This window comes from Homo sapiens, chromosome 2 (genome assembly GCF_000001405.40).
Source record: "Homo sapiens chromosome 2, GRCh38.p14 Primary Assembly".
NCBI lineage: Eukaryota > Metazoa > Chordata > Mammalia > Primates > Hominidae > Homo > Homo sapiens.
Genome location: NC_000002.12, coordinates 60,897,460 through 60,920,787, shown reverse-complemented (window position 1 = coordinate 60,920,787; position 23,328 = coordinate 60,897,460). Strand labels below are relative to the sequence as shown.

The 23,328-nt window shown below is 38.9% G+C and overlaps 1 protein-coding gene and 1 pseudogene across 4 annotated transcripts in view, besides 1 other annotated feature; both read right to left on the bottom strand.

Moving 5' to 3' along the window:
• The window catches only part of REL (REL proto-oncogene, NF-kB subunit), a 50,039-nt gene that overhangs the window by 10,825 nt on the left and 15,886 nt on the right, over positions 1-23,328 (bottom strand). The window contains exons 4-10 of one of the 4 annotated variants that reach the window (NM_002908.4): positions 19,705-19,796; positions 3,771-3,911; positions 2,493-2,597; positions 2,182-2,394; positions 679-747; positions 310-405; positions 146-214 (exon numbers count right to left, since the gene is read on the bottom strand). In NM_002908.4, coding sequence (NP_002899.1) covers positions 146-214; positions 310-405; positions 679-747; positions 2,182-2,394; positions 2,493-2,597; positions 3,771-3,911; positions 19,705-19,796 — 785 coding nt within the window. Of the gene's footprint in view, positions 1-145; positions 215-309; positions 406-678; positions 748-2,181; positions 2,395-2,492; positions 2,598-3,770; positions 3,912-19,704; positions 19,797-19,903; positions 20,045-23,328 lie in introns of those variants that run through there. The other 3 variants (XM_011533010.4, NM_001291746.2, NM_001438025.1) reach the window with 3 other exon arrangements.
• Positions 9,346-9,485, bottom strand: RNU4-51P (RNA, U4 small nuclear 51, pseudogene; annotated as a pseudogene).
• Positions 12,380-12,674: a silencer, noted in NCBI's record as "tiled region #13586; HepG2 Repressive non-DNase unmatched - State 15:Elon". NCBI's record gives its function as "represses a minimal TATA promoter and a strong SV40 promoter by Sharpr-MPRA in HepG2 cells {active_cell/tissue: HepG2}" and the evidence as "EXISTENCE:reporter gene assay evidence [ECO:0000049][PMID:27701403]".

Below are 23,328 nucleotides of genomic sequence, written 5' to 3'. Positions count from 1 at the left end.
ATTCATTCTATACTGAAAGCATGAAAAATCTGGAGAGAAAATTTTCAAAGAAGCAGTTATTCATTCCTAAAAATAGAATTCCAATATATTGTGCAAAGTACTGGTCTTTCTGATCACAAGAAATATGCTATAGGAAATAAAATACCTTTTTTGAAGTATCTTCCTTCTCCAATTGAACCGAGGAGACCAGGTCTTGGTCTCTCAGGAAAATTAACTGTTAGGATAAAGTTTTTCCATTATTAAATGTCATTTGAAAAATAACATTATCAGTTAAAATCTGAAAAACTGGCCGGGCGTGGTGGCTCCCACCTGTAATCCCAGCACTTTGGGAGGCCAAGGTGGGTGGATCACCTGATGTCAGGAGTTCAAGACCATCCTGGTCAACATGGCGAAACCCTGTTTCTACTAAAAATACAAAAATTAGCCGGGTGTGGTGGCACATGCCTGTAATCTCAGCTACCCGGGAGGCTGAGGCAGGAGAATTGTTGAACCTGGGGGGCAGAGGTTGCAGTGAGTTGAGATTGCCCTACTGCACTCCAGCCTGGGTGACAGAGAGAGATGCTATCTCAAAAAACAAACAAACAACAAAACAAAACAAAAATAATAAAATTTGAAAAACTGAATAAAGTAAATAAAACAAAACCTATTTAAATATGAATCGATCCAAACTATTCTTACCGTGATCCTGGCACAGTTTCTGGAAAAGCAGAGTTGTCTTTTGTTTCTTTGCTTTATTGCCGTAAGTATCTGATTAGAAAGAAACCAGGAAAGCAGATAAAAAATTATAGGATTGTATCCTCTCCTTTAATAAACAAATATTTTATTCACATATAGAAAATGTTTTCAATAAATATGTATGTAAGTTGGATTTAATAAGTATTATAGAATATGTCCCAAATCAGTAGTATCAGTAGAAAAGGATATTTTTCTCTTAGTAAAAAATTGTTTAAAGTAATCTCAGCACTTTGGGAGGCTGAGGCAGGTGGATCACTTGAGCGCAGGAGTTTGAGGCCAACCTAAGCAACATGACAAAACCCTGTCTCCATAAAAAAACAGAAAAATTGGCCAGGCGCAGTGGCTCATACCTGCAATCCCAGCACTTTGGGAGGCTGAGGTGGGTGAATCACCTGAGGTCAGGAGTTTGAGACCAGCCTGGCCAACATGGTGAAACCCCATCTCTACTAAAAATACAAAATGAGTCGGGTGTGGTGGCGCATGCCTGTAGTCCCAGCTACCTGGGAGGCTGAGACAGGAGAATTGCTTGAACCCAGGAGGCAGAAGCTGCAGTGAGCCAGGATTGCGCCACTGTACTCCAGCCTGGGCAAGACAGAGCAAGACTCCATCTCAAAAACAAAAAAACAAAAAAACAAAAAAACCCCACAAAAATTAGCCAAGTGTGGTGGTGCGCACCTATAGTCCCAGGTACTCACGAGGCTGAGGTGGGATGATCACCTGAGCCCAGGAGGCTGAGGCTCTGGTGAGCCACGATCATGCCACTGTACTCCAGCTTGAGTGACAGAGTGAGACCCTGTCTCAAAAAAAACCCAAAACAAGCTGTTTAAAATATTCATCTTGTTTTCTTATCACACAAGTCAATAATGTCAACTAATGCAATAAGGTTTGATAAGAAACCAATATAGAGACTACTCTCTGAGTGGTAAGTGCACAAAGACTAAAACAGACCTTCAAAAATAAAATAGAAATTTTAGTAAGCAGTTTAGATACTTTGAAATTATTCCATACTAATCAAACCTCTTCTTGAAGAAAGAGATGCAGAGACCAGCCTAGCCAACATGGTGAAACCCTGTCTCTACTAAAAATACAAAAGTAGTAGCCCAGCGTGGTGGCACGTGCCTATAGTCCCAGCTACTCAGGAGGCTGAGGCAGAAGAATCGCTTGAACCCGGGAGGAGGAGGTTACAGTGAGCTAAGATTGCGCCACTGCACTCTAGCCTGGGTGACAGTGAGACTCTGTCTCAAAAACAAAACAAAACAAAACAAAAAACAACCCAACAAATAAAGAGATGCAAAGAGCATAAAGAAAAAACCAACAGAAAGCTTCCAGGAAAAGAAACATAAATTATGAATATACATAACTGTACTCAAATGAATATTACAAGAAGATGTTATTAGCAGGACCACTTCAAGAAATATATAAATTATTACCAGCAAAATGTCATACCTTTTTCATCTGGCAGATATCTAAAATCCATAGATTCACTAACTTCCTGGTCAGAAGGTCTCCGCAACTGCATTTTTACTGTTACGGGTTCTGTGATAGCTTTGCAATATGGTGGAGTTTTGAAAACAATGGCTACTTGACGGTGTACATCAGCTTGTGAAAAGATGCCTTTTGCTTCCCAATCGTTCAACACAAAACGAACTTCTATGTCATCTAGTCAATAAGAAACCAAAAAAAAAAAAATGGGAAAACAAAGTAACTGCATCTATTAATCTAAAATTTATTCTAAATTCAATGAAATAAATAAATACCTTTCTGAACTTTGTCACAAAGTAGAAATATTTCATCTCCTCCTCTGACACTTCCACAATTCTTGTTTACACGACAAATCCTTAATTCTGCAGTATTTGGAGCACCTAAATATAAAGGATTTTCAAAAAAATGAGTTGCTACCTTAGTAATATTTTATTTCTTTTTGCAGGGAAGAATTTGAGGAAAAGCATTCACAGAATAAAAGTTTTAGTGTATAGATAAATGACACTAAATACATTAATCATCTATTTATCTGTCCACTTCCTTTCTAACTGCTTTACTTTAGACTTTGTGGCTTCATTTCTAGGTAATGACATATTCTCTAATTACATCTCCCTGCTTCTAAATTCTGATTCCGCCAATCAATCCTACCCACTGTCACCAGATTAATCTTCATAAATCATGACCACATCCCCATGGCAATACAATTTTCCCTATGGCAATACATCTCCCTATGGCAATACAACTTTCATGCTTCCTTTATAGCCCTAAGTCTCTCTATCCTTCTACACATAAAACAGGTATATCATACACCATTGGTGGACGTATATCTAAGTCTATGTACACACACACACACGTACACACACACACACACACACACACACACACACACAGTATTTTGGGGGAAAGTTTCATAATCTTTCAAAATGAGATATATCCATATCCTTTGAGCCAGCATTTGCCATGCAGTGAGCCATGACTGCACCACTGCACTCCAGCCTGGGTGACAGAGTGAGACCCTGTCTCCAAAAAAAAAAAAAAAACCAATAAAAAAAAATATACAAGAATATGTATTGCAGTACAGTTTGCTAGGCCAAAAAGAAAAAATGAGAAAAGAAACAAACCAAATGCCTTGTAAGAGGGTAATTAATAAAATTATGATATAACTACATAATAAAATATGCTGCTACTGAAAAGAATAAGGTGATTAAAAGGAAAATGTCCAAGATATATGGTAAGAAGAAAGTTAGTTTTTAAAACAATCATCACTTATGATTTTAAGTTGCCAAAATTGTACTGTGTCAAAAATGATGATGATGACAATGTATCTGTGTATATACAGGAAGAAGAAACTGGTAAAATATGCACCTAAGGATAGTGATTATCTCTGGAGGATGAGATTAGAGAAGATTTCCTTTCTGTTATATATTTCTCTAATGTCTGGAAGTTTTCCTATCATGAATATATTGTTTTCCTAATTACCAAAATAATTTTAAGAATTAAACTATTACAAAAAACAAGTTAAGACTACAAATATAAGAAAATGAAGTACTTACGGTTGTCATAAATTGGGTTCGAGACAACAGGAGGAAGAGCAGTCGTCAAATTACCATGTTCATCAGGGAGAAAAACTTGAAAACACAGTCTCACCACATTGAGGTCACAATCTTCAATATCATTCAGCTGTTTTTCAGGGACTGAATAGAAAAAAAAAATTTTTTAAATGTAATAGTCACATAGACCTAAAGACTTGCTAGGTCCTCCTCCCTGCCCATTATAGCCAATAACCTTGAATAGCATCCAAATATGTATGAATAAAAATAGAACAGTATACAATCTCAAGAATGCCTTTTATCATTCTTATCAAGTAATCACTATCTAACAGTATTTGATAAATTATAGCCATGTTCAGGAAGTAACTATCCCCTCACCTGGGATTTAAAGCAAAATCCCAAGTTGACATTAATAACAAATCAAAGTTTTAAAAAATAGTTGCAGGTTTGTACACAACAAAGAATGGCATTTACCCATTCATTCAACAAGTATGTATTTGGTCCAGTTGTTGTGTTAAGGACTCTGTAAATTATCTCCTAAATCTGTACAAGAATTACTTTCATCCCCATTTTACAAACGAGGAACTGAGTTTAGTTCGTTTTTTTGACATGGGGGTCTCACTCTGTTGCCCAGGCTGGAGTGCAGTGATGCGATTTTGGTTCACCTCAACCTCCGCCTCCCAGGCTCAAGTGATCTTCCCATCTCAGCCTCCTGAGTAGCTGGGACTACAGGCACATGCCACCACGCCCAGCTAATTTTTCTATTTTTTTGTAGAGATGGGGTTTCACTATGTTGCCCAGGGTGGTCTCAAACTCCCAGGCTCAAGTGATCCACCCACCTTGGCCTCCCAAAGTGTTGGGATTATGGGCGTGAGCCACTGAGCCTGGCCTGGAACTGACTGTAAAGAGATGAATTACTTGCCCAAAGTTTCACAGTGACAGGGTGGAAATGTGAACTCAAGTCATTAAATTTAGAGCCTATGCTTTTAAAAATTGAAATCTATTAGAAAATTGTACATGTGTTGTACATAAAAATGACATACACAAGAGTATCTACTAAATGTGGATCAACATTTTAAGGATGAAATACCAAGAAACAAAAAAATGTTAAGATAGCTAGTTTCCATAAGAAATTTTACGTGCAAACTTAAAAAATGTTTTAATTAAAAATTTTACAGTTCTATAAAACTAGAAAAGCTCATGATAGAATATAGTATAATAGTTTGTTAAATTAGTATTTGAACCAGAAATCCAGTTCCAAAAGAAAATATTGCCTTTTCAAATGCCATAAGCTATAGCAATAAGTCATATTTTTAAAAAGCAAGACATGCACATTATTTACATAACAATTTTACTTTGCAAAGTATTAAATTTTGAAACACTAAATTTAGAAACATAGTTAAGCCCAAATTCCTTATTTTACAGGCAATAACTAATAAAACTGATAATGTATTTTGTACTGTTTTTATTTAATGACATTGAGAGTCTACTTAGCTATCACAACATTTATAAGTATCCCAGTATTAGCATTCTTATGCTTAATCTTTGAAACAGTGCATAAAAACACATCTGTACTCTGTACAACTGAAAGGTCAAAATGTTATGATACCAACACTTGTGTTACAGCAGCATACTCTACTGGCACTATTGTGTAGGCAATATGAGAGCTACCTCTTCAAAATCCATTTTTACAGCATTATAAATGTAGCATTCAAGATATTAGTGTCTCTCAATTGCAAAGATGAGTAATCAATATGCAAAAAAGATAAATTTGTAGCTAGATGTTCCTGGTAAGTTTAAAAACAAACCTATGTGAACTCTGTGAATGGATAAACAAAGTGTGGTATAGACCTACAATGGAATAAACTCAGCAATAAAAGAGAACAAACTGGCCAGGCGTGGTGGCTCACACCTGTAATCCCAGCACTTTGGGAGGCCGAGGTGGGTGGATCATGAGGTTGGGAGATCGAGACCATCCTGGCTAACACGGTGAAACCCCGCCTCTACTAAAAATACAAAAAATTAGCCAGGCGTGGTGGCGGGCGCCTATAATCCCAGCTACTTGGGAGGCTGAGGCAGGAGAATGGTGAACCCGAGAGGCAGAGCTTGCAGTGAGCCGAAATTGTGCCACTGCACTCCAGCCTGGGCGACAGAGCAAGACTCCATCTCAAAAAAAAAAAAAAAACAAAAAAACAAGCTATGGGTATACACTCCCAAATGAATGTATCTCAAAACCATGTTGAGCAAAAGAAACCAGATACAAAAGTATACTGTATGCTTCCATTTACATGCAGTTTTAGAAAAGATTAATCTCCAGTGACAGAAGGCAGATTAGTAATTGCCTGAGGCAGAGGCAGGGTAGGGAACTGAGCGAGAAGGGGACCAGGGAAATTTTAGGGGGTGATGGAAATGTTCCATAGCTTGATTGTGGTTATGTAGCAGGACATATTCGGGTAGATTTTATTGTATCTCAATAAAAGTTTATTTTAAATATTTTTAAATGGCACATAAAAGAAAAATAAACAAACTGGTCAATAAGCCAAAGTTCAAAAACATTTAGTCACATAATAGTTCTACTACAGGGAAGAAATTCTACTTACTTCTCAAAAAAAATCACTGTTTATGAGATTTTGCTTTGAATCTTCTCAATGTGTGGAAATACAATTACTACTGCATCAGAATTACTTTCATCTCTGCACAACATGGTTAAAAACTACTGACAGGCAAGAATCATGACAGATACCCGTTTTTACCCAATGCAAGATTCAGTGTAAGGCTGAAACCCCAGCTCAAAGCTTCTTTTCTATAAAGCCTAACTTCATCCTCTGCAATGGAGGGAATATTTCTCCTCTCTAAATCAGTGCAAGACTTGACCTATACCTTTCTTATGCCCTTAAAAGTTTTAAAATCTTACATGATAATCATTTATGTATGCCTCTTCTATCCTATTAGACAAAGTTTCAAATGAAGTCAGAAGGGATGTCTGATGTATCTCCACTAGGTGTTGAACCTAGTAGTGATATTTATTATACATTTTCTCAATTAACATAAATGACTGAAGAATTACTTAAAGTCCTATTGAACAACCAAACATTTAGATACTTTTACAAGTTACTGAAGAAAGCATAAAGTAAACGTTAATAAAAAGAAGTTCTACTTTGGTAATGATAGATGATAATCTGTAAACTGGACCAATTCAACCATGAGAATAAAGTGGACAAAATATGAAACAAAATTTCTCTAATGACATTAGAGAGCTAACAAGGTCATGAAAAACCATGCGACCAAGATATGAGAGAAGAAAACCCACAGTTCAGAATGAGAGGCCACTTTTATCTGAATATAGCCTGACAATTTTCTAAGAGATGGTTAAGAAGATTGAGATGAACTCTCAATAAACTATAGGGAAAAAATAAAGGAGTTGAGAGTTTGCCAAGGATGTGGGATCTGATAAATACCCAAGGCTTTGGGGGATTTGAGGTCTGAAAGAGCTATACCCTAGGAGTAAGGGTGAACTGGAAACATATCAGATTTCAGGGATGAAAGCCCAACTTCAAATAACCTAAATCATTCACTGATTTTAGGTGACCTGGGATTGCTAGTGTACCCGGCCACTAGCCAGAAGAAAATTTTCTGCAGGGAGATAATATTGTAGGCCTAAAATCTTTACTCTTTTTCACAGAAAATGACTGGTATTTTATCTTAAATAACCACACATATGAGGAGGCAAAATAAAAAATTTTTTTTTAAAAGAAAGCAACAGGCAATAAAAACATACCACAAAGGATCCAAATAATGAAGTTTTCAGACATATAATTTAAAGTAACTATACTTAATATATTCAAGGAATTAAGATTGAGAGTTTACTGGAGAACTTGAAACTGAAAAAAAGGAATCAAATTCTAGAACTGAAAAATATAATAAATTGAAATTAAGAATATAATCAAATTTATCAAAAGTTTTATAGAAAACACTTTGTGTCTTGTCTTTTTATACCTCAAGGATTAAAATGTTTACCAACATAGTCTACCAAAAGTTTTTAAAATGTTGATTCACTTTTAAAGCCTTTAATCCATCTTCAGCTGATATTTGTATATGATGTGAGGTAGGGAATCCGACTTAATTAAATAACTATTTTTTTTTCAAGCTTCATTTCTCAAACATTTCCTCCTTTCCTCTTGATATGACATGCCACCTCTGTCATACACTAAAGTCGCATATTTCCTTAGCTCTGTTTCTGGGCTCTCAATTCTTTTTTCAATAATTATACATTTTTATTTTATCTTATAAAAATTGGGTGAATATGTAGATTTAAATTGACAAAACTGTGTATTGAACAGTTTTGTCTTTTATAGCTTAGAAGAAAGATTTTGGGCAAAAATGAAATCTCTCTTTTGGAAATGATTTATTTCTATTTTATAATACTTCTGAGCACTGTTGCAACTTCAGAAGATCTTTTATATTTTTAATTTCAAATCTGCTTATATACACAGTAAGTCTTCACTTAATGTCTTCTAGGATGATGTCTATAGGTTCTTGGAAATTGCAACTTCAAGCGAAACAACACCATAATAAAACCAATTTTACCATAGGCTAATCAATATTAATAAGAGTTAAGTTTCTACGGCAGACTATGGGTCACAAAAACATCACTAAATTTATAAGACCAAAACGCTTGCAATATTAAATATTGAAATAAATCTGAGCTATACATACATTTAAGAAAGATTAATAAAAACAAGTTAAGATAATGATTTACCCAATTATTCCAGTTCAGGGTCACAGGTGATTGGAGTCTCTTCTGGGCTCTCAATTCTACTCCAATGAGTCAATCTATCTATTCTTATCCCAATATGACACTGCCTTAATTAGTATTAATACTTCTATCTGATGAGGTCAATTTCTCCTCATTGTTCTTTTTCTATATTCTGTTCCTGTTTAGAATTATCACATTTAATATGGAGTTGCATTGAATCTACTTATCAATTGGGGGAAAATGACTTTTTTTTTTTTTTTTTTTTTTTTTGAGACAGTCTTGCTCTTTGCCCAGGCTGGAGTGCAGTGGCACGATCTCAGCTCACTGCAACCTCCGCCTCCCGGGTTCAAGTGATTCTCCTGCCTCAGCCTCCCGAGTAGCTGGGACTACAGGCCTGTGCCACCACGCCCAGCTAATTTTGTATTTTAAGTAGAGATGGGGTTTCATCATCTTGGCCAGGATGGTCTCAACCTCTTGACCTTGTGATCCGCCCGCCTCGGCCTCCCAAAGTGCTGGGATTACAGGTGTGAGCTACCACGCCCGGCCTGGGAAAATGACATTTTTACAATATTACTATTAGAGAACACGGAATACCTCTCCATTTATTTAAGTATTCTCTAAGATCTCATAATAAAATTTTATAATTTTCCCTAAAGAAATCTTATCATTTCTTTGATTTGTTTCTACATACTTCATATCTCCTGACAATATTTGTTTTAATGATGTTTTCCAGTTATTTGCTGCTGAGATATGGAAATATGACTGACCTTTATATATTAATTTTACATCCACTAACCCTTTTAAACTTTATTTTTTATTCAGTCTCCAAAAAGACTGTCAAAAATTGCCAATGCTGACTATACTGCAAGTCATGACAGCAGGATATTAGGAAAAAGTTTTCAATTAACAATAACCACTCCTAAGATAAACCTCACTTGGCTATACTGCCAATGCACAAAGCTCACTCTTTTAAACTTATCTAAATAATCCATTTATATATCTTTTGGGTTATCACTATAATAATTTCAAATAATTATAGTTTTATTTCCTCATTTTTCAATCCTATGCCTCTACTTTTTGGGGGGTCTTACTGTACACTGGCTACAATGCTCACTGCTCTGGCTATGACCTTCACTACGATGTTGAATACAAGTGGTAAAAGTGTGCCTTGGTTTCTCATTCTTAACTTCAAAGCGAATGTTTCTGATATTTCTCTTATTTAGGATAATGCTTGCTGTAGGCATTTTAATAGATACATATCATTCTATAATACAAAATGCAGTGTTTTATTCTGTAATGTCAAAATTGATACTCAGTTTTGTTTGTTTTGTTTGAGACAGAGTCTCACTCTGTCGCCCAGGTTAGAGTGCAGTGTTGTGATCTTGGCTCACTGCAGCCTCTGCCTCCAGGGTTCAAGAGATTCTAACGCCTCAGCCTCCCAAGCAGCTAGGATTACAGGCATGCACCACCATGCCTGGCTAAGTTTTGTATTTTTAGTAGAGACGGGGTTTCACCATGTTGGCCAAGGTGGTCTGGAACTCCTGACCTCAAGTGATCCACCCACCTTGGGCCCCCAGTGTTGGGATTACAGGTGTGAGTGGCCGTGCCTGGCCTGATACTCAGTTTTAACATTTGCAGAAACTAACGGAAGGAAGCATGAGACCAATCGACTTCTCTCAAATTCCTCTTAAACTAGTTTAAAATTTCACTTTGTAGTTAGTCAAAATATAAGGTAATAACTGTTCTCCTGTTCTCCTTCCTTTTTATGTTTTTTTTTTTTTTGTTTTTTGTTTTTTTTTTGAGATGGAGTCTCACTCTGTCACCCAGGCTGGAGTGCAGTGATGTGAGCTTGGCTCCCTGCAAGCTCCGCCTCCCGGGTTCACGCCATTCTCCCGTCTCAGCCTCCCGAGTAGCTGGGACTACAGGCGCCCGCCACCATGCCCGGCTAATTTTTTGTATTTTTAGTAGAGACGGAGTTTCACCCTGTTAGCCAGGATGGTCTTGATCTCCTGAACTCGTGATCTGCGCACCTCAGCCTCCCAAAGTGCTGGGATTACAGGTGTGAGCCACCGTGCCCAGCCCCTTCCTTTTTATGTTAAATGTTTAATCTACCTTTAGAAAGAAATATCACTCCTTTAACCCTAAAATCAGTAGGTGTGTAATGAGAATTTCATTCTTAACCAAGAAGATATTATCATGCTATATTTTTCATAAGCAGGAATTAAATTTTAAAAATCAATTATGTCTACTAGCTCTAGAAGTGTAACATTTCTAAAATTCTAATACTGTCAAACACTACTGAAATAAAAATAAATAACAAGGCAAAAATACACAGCATATGGAATAATAATTTTATTTTTTTTGAGATGGAGTCTTGCTCTGTCGCCAGGCTGGAGTGCAGTGGCGCCATCTCAGCTGACTGCAACCCCCGCCTCCTGGTTCAACTGATTCTCCTCCTGCCTCAGCCTCCCAAGTAGCTAGGACTAGAGGTGCACGCCACCATGCCCAGCTAATTTTTGTATTTTTAGTAGAGATAGGGTTTCATTATGTTGGCCAGGATGGTCTGTATCTCTTGACCTCGTGATCCGCCCATCTCGGCCTCCCAAAGTGCTGGGATTACAGGCGTGAGCCACTGCGCCCAGCCTGGAATAACAATTTTAAGAACTATGTCTCAGTCGGGCATGGTGGCTCATGCCTGTAATCTCAGCACTTTTGGAAACCGAGGCAGGAGGATCACTTAAGCCCAGGAGTTCAAGACCAGCCTGGGCAACATACGGAGACCCTGTCTCTACAAATAATAGAAAAAAAAAAAATGAACTAAGTCTCACTTAAGGAAAAATATAAAATTTAGTTATAATTAATTTACATTTTTGTTACTTAAAAAGTATATAAAGTATCCCCTATGTATAATAATAAAAGTTGACATTTAAGTGTTCATGTGCCAGGCAAACAGTAAAGGTGCTAGAAGTATACTAGAAGTATATCATTAATTTACTCAACCTTTCAACATACTTATTGAGTATCTATTATGTGCTACCATAGTAAAGTGTTAGATACAAATTTGAAAAGACAATGCCTGACCTTAGTGAGATGAGTATCTGGATGAGAAATAGATACATAAACTAAAATTATATAATACAACATGAAAAACTTTATAATGGAAATATGCTCAAGGAATACTGAAAGCAAGAAAGTACACAAGTTCTGCCTAGGGTAATGAAAAAAAGGCTTCGAAAACTCTGACTGCAATAAAGAAAGGACAATGAAGTACACATGAGCCATTTTTTCAAACTTTAAGTTTTCAGTTGTAAGGAAAGGCTTTTTCTTGTATTAGACCAGACTTTAGAGATAAGAATCTATGTTAGACTACTTATTAAACTGTATTCCCTTTCAGACTACTAAGTAATGTAGTTTTCCCAAACTCAACTGTATAGCAGCCTTTTACTCTCATAACAACTCAAGATTCTCTACATGGGAAAACAGTAAACTACCTAATAAAACTTAATTGCAAATTCTTTATTGTCAAAATCAATTTTATTGCACAAAATTTAATATACAGTTTAGATATTCTATGGAGTTTAACTGCCGCATACTAGAAATCCTAACATTTCATTACCAAAGTACATAACTAGAAAATGATATATAATTACAAATTTTTTTCAGCTTTTGCAGTTAAGAGTCCTCTACAAAGTCTAACTGCCACTCTTGTTCTAGCTAAGTAAACACTGTTAAAATCTGATATTGGAGTCCCTAATTAAATTCCTCACCCAATTTAGACTTTGGCAATTAGACAATTTGAATAATCCTTTACTTGAAGCCTCAAATTTGACAGTATTAGACTGCTTTATGCCCCGTTTGCTAGAGACTGTTTCTTAGTTTTAAAGAACAAATGGCAAGAAAGATAAAGGCCGGCCTTAAAACACACTAGTTGGGGAATCTATTGTGTGCAGGTAGGAAACTCAATAGCTCAAGGCACTTAGCTGAGAAGATAGAGATAACAGTAAAACAAATACATTGTTTAGGTGCCAAAGTGAAATGGAAACAAGATTCCATCACAGACCCTGTCCACAAGTAGCATGAAATTAATATTTTAAGAAAATTCCTGAAGAATCAAATGATCTAACAGATAACACAAAACTTTCAATGATTAATTGCTGAGTATACCGTATAATTAGGAAGATGTTATCTCAGACTTAAGAGAACTGAGAAGGCTTTCAGGGCATCTCAGGTAAGGAAAACAACTGTGATATTTTTGGTAGAAAAGTACAAATAAGGCGGGGCGTGGTGGCTCAAGCCTGTAATCCCAGCACTTTGGGAGGCCGAGGTGGACGGAACACGAGATCAGGAGACCGAGGCCATCCTGGCTAACACGGTGGAACCCTGTCTCTACTAAAAAATACAAAAAAATTAGCTGGGCATGGTGGCGGGCACCTGTAGTCCTAGCTACTCGGGAGGCTGAGGCAGGAGAATGGTGTGAACCTGGGAGACAGAGCTTGCAGTGAGCCGAGATCACACCACTGCACTCCAGCCTGGGCAACAGAGCGAGACTCCGTAAAAAAAAAAAAAAGAAAAGTACAAATATGACATGTTCGTCCATTTATTCTTTCAACCGTTTTAGTTTGTTTGTTTTTTTGATACGGGGTCTCACTGTCACCCAGGCTGAAGTGCAGTGGCACAATCTGGGCTCACTGCAACCCAGCCTGATAGGCTCAAGTGATCCTCCTACCTCAGCCTCTGGAGCAGGCTGGGACTTGCAGCACGCACCCATGCCCAGCCAATTTTTTGTAGAGATGGGGTTTCACCACATTGCCCAGGCTGGTCTCGAACTAGACTCAAGTGATCCACCCATCTTGGCCTCCCCAAGGGCTGGGATTACAGGCATGAGCCACCGTGCCTGGCCCTTTTAACACATTTTAATTAAGCTTCTTTCATGTGCCAGAGATACAAGGAAGACAGTCCTCATCCTCCAGAATTTCATGATTTAGTGTAGGAAAAACATGTAATCAAAGTTATAGCAAACCATATTAGAAATATGTACAGGTACTGGCTGGGTGCGGTGGCTCACGCCTGTAATCCCAGTACTCTGGGAGGCCAAGGTGGGCGGATCACCTGAGGTCAGGAGTTCAAGACCAGCCTGGCCATGGTGAAACCCCATCTCTACTAAAAATACAAAAAAAATTAGCTGGGCATGGTGGCGCGTGCCTGTAGTCCCAGCTACTCAGAAGGCTGAGGCAGGAGAATTGCTTGAACCTGGGAGGTGGAGGTTGCGGTAAGCCAAGATTGCACCATTGCACTCCAGCCTGGGCAACAAGAGCGAAACTCTGTCTCGGAAAAGAAAAAAAAAAAAAAAATATATATATATATATATATACACACACACACATACACACACGCACACACACACACATACATACACACACATATATATATACACACACACACAGGTACTTTGGGAAAACAGAGAGAAGGTCAGGGAAGGCTTTAAAGACGATGTGATCCTTAAACTTGGAGGGTGAGTAAGAAAAATTCACCAGGCAGATCAGGGTATTTCATGCAAAGGAACTGCATGTATAAAAGCACAGAGGTAAGAAAGAACATGGCTCTTCTAACAGTGCAGATAGTTCAGAACGGCAAAAACAAGTAAGTGCATGTGTGCACTCAGTGGTAGAGGAAGGAGGGGTAGGAAGCTGAGGTACAGAATGAAAGCTAGAATGGAAAGGAAGGCTTCCAGATTATGAAGGGCTTTAAAGGCCATATTTGAGAAGCTGAACTCAGCATGTAGATCAGATCAAAGTTTCTCAGAGTATACTCTGTGGATCACTTGCATCAGAATCATCTCAGATAGAGATTTTCAAATTGTAGCTTGGGAACCACTGATTGTAAAATTAATTTAGTGGGCTGGGTAAGCACTAACAATGCAAGAGAGAAAGAAAAAGAAGGGAAAGGAAAGGTACAGAATAGAATTGAGTACACTGCATGTAGTGGGGCGATATGGTTTGGCTCTGTGTCTCCACCCAAATCTCATCTTGAATTGTACTCCCATAATTCTCATGTGTTGTGGGAGGGACCCAGTGGGAGATAATTTGAATCATGGGGGTGGTTTCCCCCATACTGCTCTCGTGGTAGTGAATAAGTCTCACAAGATATGATGGTTTTATCAGGGATTTCCGCTTTTGCATTTTCCTCATTTTCTCTTGCTGCCACCATCTAAGAAGTGCCTTTCACCTCCGCCATGATTCTGAGGCCTCCCCAGCCATGTGGAACTGTAAGTCCAATTAAACTTCTTTTTCTTCACAGTCTCAGGTGTGTCTTTATCAGCAGAGTGAAAACGGACTAATACATAGGGTATCGCTGTCCTAAGGGTGTGGTGTATGTATATATATTGAACTCAAAAACAAAATCTATTTCTTACTGTGGGTCATGGTGAAAGAGTTAAGAAATACTGATCTAGATGTTTGTTAAAATGCAGATTCCCAGCACACCTGTCTTTCAAGTCACCTGCTTGGCCCTCTTCCAAGTGTATTTTTCTTCCTTTCCTTCCTGCTCTAAGGCTTTTTAATAAACTTTCACTCCTGCTCTAAAACTTGTCTCGGTCTCTCCTTCTGTCTCCTGAGGAGGCAAGAATTGGGGCTGCTGCAGACCCGAACAGATACTTTTGGCTGCTAACACACTTTGGTGCCATGTGACTCGGATAAGTTATTATTTTAAAAATATTTTTTAAAATGTAGATTCCCAGGACCCATACCAGCCCTATCAAATTAGTGGAAGTGTGGCCTGAAATCTACATTTTTAACAGTACTAAGATATTCCTATGCACATTCAAATTGAGAACCACTGCTGAAAGGCTCGGGAAGGAATGAATTTGCAAACAGGCTGGGTGTGGTGGCTCATGCCTGTAATCCCAGCACTTTGGGAGGCTGAGGCGGGCGGATCACAAGGTCAGGAGATTGAGACCATCCTGGCTAACACGATGAAACCCCATCTCTACTAAAAATACAAAAAATTAGCCGGGTGCGGTGGCGGGTGCCTATAGTCCCAGCTACTCGGGAGGCTGAGGCAGGAGAATGGTGTGAACCCGGGAGGCGGAGCTTGCAGTGAGCCGAGATCGTGCCACTGCACTCCAGCCTGGGCGACAGAGGGAGACTCCATCACAAACAAACAAAGAAAAAACAAGTAAACAACAACAGGAAACATAAATAGTGGGAAGGATTAACTGGCAGGATTGTTCCTTCCCCAAATCAATATTCATCCAGGCGGCATGGTAGAGTTGTTAAAACCATGACCTTAGAGTCAGGGGCTCCCTATGTTCAAATCCTAGCTCTACCACTCATCAGCTATATAACCTTGAACAAATTACTTTCCTTTTCTTTACTTAGAGACGGGGTCTTGTTCCGTCGCTCAGGCTGAAGTGCAATAGTGAGAACACCGTTCACTGCAGCCTTGACCTCCCAGGCTGAAGCAATTTTCCTACCTCGGCCTCCTGAGTAGCTAAGACCACAGTTGTGCACCCCTGCATCTGGTTAATTAAAAAAAATTTTTGTAGAGATGGGGTTTTACCATGTTGCCCAGGCTGATCTCAAACTCCTGGGCTCAAGCAATCCTCTCCACCTTGGCCTCCCAAAGTGCTGGGATTACAGGCATAAGACACCGTGCCTGGCCTACTTGATTTTTTTTTTTTTTAATTATTTTTTTTGAGATGGAGTTTCACTCTTGTTGCCCAGGTTGGAGTCCAATGGCGTGATCTCGGCTCACCACAACCTCCGCCTCCTGGGTTCAAGCGATTCTCCTGCCTTAGCCTCCTGAGTAGCTGGGATCACAGGTGTGCGCCACCACGCCCGGCTAATTTTTTTTTTTTTTTTAATTGAGACAGAGTCTCGTTCTGTCGCCCAGGCTGGAGTGCAGTGGAGCAATCTTGGCTTACTGCAACCTCCACCTCCTGGGTTCAAGCGAATCTCCTGCTTCAGCCTCCCAAGTAGCTGGGACTACAGGCGCGTGCCACCACGTCCAGCCAATTTTTTGTGTTTTTAGTAGAGACAAGGTTTCACCATGTTGGTCAGGCTGGTCTCGAACTCCTGATCTCGTGATCCCCCCACCTCGGCCTCCCAAAGTGCTGGGATTACAAGCCTGAGTTCACTTTTCTATGCTTCCATTTTCTTATTTTTAAAATTGAGTTATTAATAGTACCTATTTCGTAGGCTGTTATAAGGATTAAATGAAATAAAATATATAAAGCACTTACTATCTACCAACAACTATTTTAATTGCCATTATGAGAATTCACTATTAATATCATGCCTGAGTCGGGCCCAGTGGCTCACACCTGTAATCCCAGCACTTTGGGAGGCCAAGGCAGGCGGATCACTGGACCCCAGGAGTTTGAAATCAGCCTGGAGAATATGGCAAAACCCATCTCTACAAAAAATACAGAAACTCTGGCCAGGCGTGGTGGCTAACACCTGTAATCCCAACACTTTGGGAGGCTGAGGCAGGAGGATCACTTGAGGTTGGGAGTTCAACACCAGGCTGGCTGACATGGTGAAACCCTGTGTCTAATAAAAATACAAAAATTAGCCAGGCGTAGTATACATCTACAATTCCAACTACTCGAGAGGCTGAGGCACGAGAATCGCTTGAACCCAGGAGGTGAGGGTTGCAGCAAGTCGAGATTGTGACACTGCACTCCAGCCTGGGTGACAGAGTGAGACTCTGTCTCAAAAAAAAAAATTAGCTGGGCATGGTGATGCACACCTGTAATCCCAGCTACTTAGGAGGCTGAGGTGGGAGAATCACCTGAGCCTGGGAGGTCAAGGCTGCAGTGAGCTGTGATCACATCACTGCACTCCAGCCCGGGCATCTCAAAAAACAAGCCTGATTCTGAGCTGCCAAAACTAAGAAAAAGAAATTCCACAGACAGCATCTTCCTTTTTAATGCCTTTACCACTGGAGTCAAGGAACCTGCATATGAATTCCAGGTCTGCCACTTATATTTGCAGCATGATTTGGGACAGTTAAATAACAAAAGTCTTGGCATTCTCTTCCATAAAGCAGAATTGTTCCAACGATTAAATAAAGTAGTGTGCATAAAGCACTAACGTTTACTCCCTGACATACAAGAAGTGCTTAATAAATGATAGCTATCACTTATAATTTCCTTGTTTTATATTGCATCTAGACTTACCTGCCTCTTTAAAAGTCTGGCCTATTAATTTGGCAATGAATCACAATTTTAAATGAGCATACTCTTGACCCAGAAATTTTCCACTTCCAAAAATTTATCCTAGGGAAATAATCACACAAGAGCTCACAGTGTATATTCAGTGGAGCTTTTAAAACAAAATGAAAACAACATACATGTTCATTAATAGAAGACTAAATAGACCGGGTGCAGTGGCTCATGCCTGTAATCCCAGCACTTTAGAAGGCCGAGGCAAGTGGATTGCTGAGCTCAGGAGTTTTGAGACCAGCCTGGGCAACATGGCGAGACCCTGTCTCTACAAAAAATACAAAAACTAGCTGGGCATGGGCATGGTGGTGCACCAACAACTTGGGAGGCTGAGGTGGGATGACCGCTTGAGCCCAGGATGTCAACGCCGCAGTGATCTGTGATCACATCACTGCACTCCATCCTGGGCGACAGAGCAAGACTACCTCAAAAAAAAAAAAAAAAAAGATGACTAAATAAACAAATTATGTTCTACCCAAACAATAAAATATTCTGTTAAAAAAAAAAACAGATTTGTAAGTATTGACATGGAAAGTTTAAGGTATATTCCTGAGTGGAAAAAAATGAAGGAGTAGAATAGGATATATAGCATGATTCCTTTTTTATAAAATATATATGTCTACATATAACTACACATGTATAAAGAAAATTCTAGAAAAATATACATCAAACTTAATAGCAGTCTCCCCTGGTAAGACTGGAAGGGAAGAAGGTGACTTTTACTTTCCGCTTTATACTAAATAGTGTGAAAAATAAAACCTAAAGAGATGCAGATCTTATGGTTCATAAAACAGTAATTACCTGTGAATATATTCCTTAAATTATCAACATATCTCTTAAATTATTTTTATACATCCAGGAAAAATACAAACCAACAGTATAAGGATGTCTCAAATATGACCAAGAAATATATTCTTTGAAAATATTACAGTCATTTAATTCCTGACTTCTGCATATTTAAGTAGCTGCAAAGACTTCAGAATGGAGGCTACTCTAAGTATAGGATGCCAGCATCTAGTGTGGTAGTACTTATCTATTCAAACAATACAGAGTGCTTACAAGTAACAGTTAGCCAGGGAGTATTAAGCATTTATACTTACAGCATGAGGCAGATAGTACCATAAGTATAAATACTTAATAAATGCTATCCCCAATAAAATTCACTGAACAGTAAATATCTAGTCATATACACAAATATGCTATGAAAATACTTTGTGTGATTTCTATTATTTCTATGCTTCTTCTTCCACATTGGGATTAAGTGTTACCCTTGAGCTAAATGCACTCCAATACCTTATAAACACAGTGCCTATTTAACACTCAAAAGGGGGGAGTGTATGTTGTCTGCTGGAAGTGGCATAAGGAAGGCCATGTTCAAAAGGATCACAACATTTTGAAGTTTTATTATATAAAACAGTGACACTCTCCAACAATACCAAAAACCTCTCTGTGCATAAGATTTTTTTCAACAACTGTGAAGAAACTATTTTAAATAGTATACGTCATTCCTCAGATACAGGTACATGTCAACAAGTAGAAAAGTAAACACAGAACTTAAAACACAGGTTGAAGATATAAATAGCTGGGCACAATGGCTCACGCCTGTAATCCCAGCACTTTGGGATGCCAAAGCGGGTAGATCACCTGATGTCAGGAGTTCGAGACCAGCCTGGCTAACATGGTGAAACCCCGTCTCTACTTAAAATACAAAAATTAGCTGGGTGTGATGGTGGGCGCCTATAATCCCAGCTACTCCGGAGGCTGAGGCTGAGGCAGGAGAATTGCTTGAACCTGGGAGGCGGAGGTTGCAGTGAGCTGAGATCGCGCCATTGCACTCCAGCCTGGCGACAAGAGCAAAACTCCGTCTCAAAAAAAAAAAAAAAAAAAAAAAGAGAAAGAAAAAAGAAACAGAAATCAACACCCAAATAAATAGAAATGATTTTATCAAACATACTTACCATTGAATGGATTGATTCCTGCCTTTATTCTTGTAATAATAGCTTCTTTTACTTCTTTTTTCTTCACACATCGAATACCCAAATTTTGGAAACTAGCAGGAAAAAAACAATATTCAAAACTGCATTATAAACACAAGGAATATTGCAAAAATCAAACATATAGCAATACTGAAGTTATCATGCTGTCAGTTGTACATACCAAAGCATGAACGTGCTTCCAATTGCTCTGATAAAGATGAGAGAGTAAGAAGTGGGATTATATGGCTGGGCGCGTGGCTTGTGCCTGTAATCCCAGCACTTTGGGAGGCCAAGGCAGGTGGATCACCTGAGGTCAGGAGTTCCAGACCAGCCTGATCAACATGGAGAAACCCCGTCTCTACTAAAAATACAAAATTAGCCAGGCATAGTGGCACATGCTTGTAATCTCAGCTACTCGGGAGGCTGAGGCAGGAGAATCACTTGAGCCTGGGAGGCAGAGGTTGCGGTAAGCCGAGATCACGCCATTGCACTCCAGCCTGGGCAACAAAAGCAAAACTCTGCCTCAAAAAAAAAAAAAGAAGTGGGGTTGTACTTCTAAGAACTGTTAAAAGAAAAATAATATATACTATATCATTTTAACATACAGTGTTTTACAATTACTAATATGCCTATGTCAAACATACCAAAATATAGATTAACAGTAAAGCAATATTAAATGGTAAAATTTGCCTCCCAAACAAATTCAGAATCAAATCAATAAAGTCTGTTTGATAATGTAAAGCAAAAGCTGTAAAGAGATGTTCACAGGTTGAAGCCCACAGGTATGTTTTGCTAGGCTCACAAAAGTGTTGCCTATATTTTTAAAAATCTGCACAGGTTATCTACATTTAGAAATCAGGTAATTGCATATGAACATCTGGATTTCCGGCTTCTCTTGTACATTTTAAAGACCTGGCAATACTAGGTTGGCACAGAAACAACAGGCTAGGGACTAAGCCCCATTTATTCAGGGCTCTTTAGTTTGCTACAGTGCCTGTTAGTCCTCCTACACTTGATCCACACCACTCATTTATGCTGCTTGCCTAGCTCCACAGAGATTTGCTTTTTGAGCCCTGAATTCACTGTTATTAGCAGTAGAATATGTTTTGTGCCACATTATATAAAGTTATAGCCATTCATCATAAAAAATTACTAAAATGTTTTTGTATTAGAAAGAAGTTTAATGCTAACAATATTTAACAAGTTTCAAAATGTCATTTATGAAAAACTTCCCAATAGCTACAAATACTACTAATTTGCATATGTGTAGCATAGACGATGGTGGGGGGAACTCCCCCACCACCACCAGTCATACTTGTTCCCACATGGAAAAACCATGACATCAGTAAAATTGGGTGGGCGTGAATAAGGAAGCAAAACTCAATTATAATAACATTACTATTGTTCAAACTTCACATGGCACTTGCAACCGGAGGCTACTTTGTCTGCCTGTCTCCATACTCATGCTGTCTTATGCTCATGTTCTTCACATCTACAATTTTGCTAGCATCTAAAATATCTTTCACATTTCCTTCCTCTGCCTCCAATAACTACAAAAATAAATCTTAAAAAACATTTTTTTTTGAGATGATCTCACTCTGCCACCCAGGCTGGAATGCAGTGGCACCATACCGGCTCACTGCAACCTCTGCCTCCCAGGCTCGGGTGATCCTCCCACCTCAGCCTCCTGAGTAGCTGGACTACAGGTACATGACACCCTACCTGGCTAATTTTTGTATTTTTGTAGAGCCAGGGTTTCACCAGGTTGCCCAGGCTGGTCTTAAGCTCCTGGACTCAAGCAGTCCACCTGCCTCAGCCTCCCAAAGTGCTCGGATTATAGGCATGAGCCACTATGCTTGGTCAGCTAAATCTTGAATTCTTAATCCTTTCTTGAAATCTTGCAACTATAATCCTCTTCCTCAAAAGTATTTCCACTTCTTTGAAAGATTCTTGGTTTGATTCTTTTTCTTTGGTAAAAGATTTTATAGAATTCTTCATATTAATACATTTATATTACTTCATTTTGTTTCATCTGAATAATCTCATATTTGACTGCTATTCACGGAATATTAGGGGTGGTGGTAATTTTTGAAATTCTGAAATGAAGGATCAAGAGATTGTTTGAATCAATTATTCATTCATTCATTCACAGACATTCAACAAGCTTTGGGGTTCGTACTATATACCAAAAACTCTGCAAAGTAATGGGGATATACAATCCCTTTCCTCAAGAAGCTTACAGTCTAGTGGAAAGATTGGCAAACTGTAACTCATGGACCAAATCCAACATCTTGTCTGTCTTTGCAAATAAAGTTTTATTGGAACACAGCCAAACTGATGTTTACATATTATCTATGGCTGCTTTCATGCTACAACAGCAGAGCTGAGCAACAGAGACCATACAGCTTGCAAAACCCCAAACATTTACTATCTAGTACTTTACAGAAAAAGTCTGGTAGTCTCTGGTCAAGTGGATATACATTAAATAATCACACATACACAAATGCTAAACTGCAATCATAACAAGTTTTATGAAGGAGGTATACATGATGTTATGGGAGCCTATGCTGGAACAGAAGAAAAACACTTCCAGGCAAAAGGAACAGGCCACACAAAGACCCCTAGAAAAGAGCAGTGGAAACAGAGGAAACTAAAGGAAGGCATTGTGAGTGGAGTATAAAAATTAAGGAAAGCAGAGTTTAATAGAAGGCTAGAAATAAAGGTGGGTCATGTGGGCCTTATAGGCTATATAGAAGGAATGCTGTCTTTATTCCAAGAGCCAAATAAACCCATTAAAATGTTTTAAGCAAGGGAAAGACAATTTCATTTGTATTTTAAAAGATCACACTGGCTAAAGCGAGGAAAGATAGAGGGTTTGGAAAAGGTACAAAATGGTTAATGCAAGACCAGTCAGGAGGTTATTCCAGCAGCCCCAGTTTAGGCTATAGTGGTAGTATGACGGTGATGAATTTCACTGAGTGAAGTGGATAGATTCAAAACCAGTTGAGAAGGTAACTGTTAGTAGATTCAATGTGTACACCTGGATGAGGAATGTCAGAGATGACACCTATAGGTCTTTTATCGCAATCACTAACATACGGCACATTGGAAGAAGACCAGTTATGAGGGGAAAGAGATATGATCACAGTAAAATCACGTTTGGGGAATATTCTATTTGAAGTGCTTTTTTTTTTTTTTTTTTAAAGAGATACAATCTCGCTCTGTTGCCCAGGCTGGACTCAAACTCCTGGGCTCAAGCAATCCTCCTGCTTTGGCCTCCTGAGTAGCTGTAACTACAGGCATGGGCCACTGTGCCCCGCTACTTAAGGTACTTTTGAGACATTTAAGGGAATATGTTGAGAAGGCAATCAGACTTACTACCATTCCCCACCAGAAGGAACCAAGAATCTCTGGAAAAAGCTGATGACTTCAGGGCTGGGGCAAGCAAAGCACAAGTTGGCCAGGCACGGTGGCTCATGCCTGTAATCTCAGCATTTCGGGAGGCTGAGGCAGGAGGATCACCTGAGGTCACGAGTTTGAGACAAGCCTGGCCAACATGATGAAACCCCGTATCTACTAAAAATACAAAAATTACCTGGGTGTGGT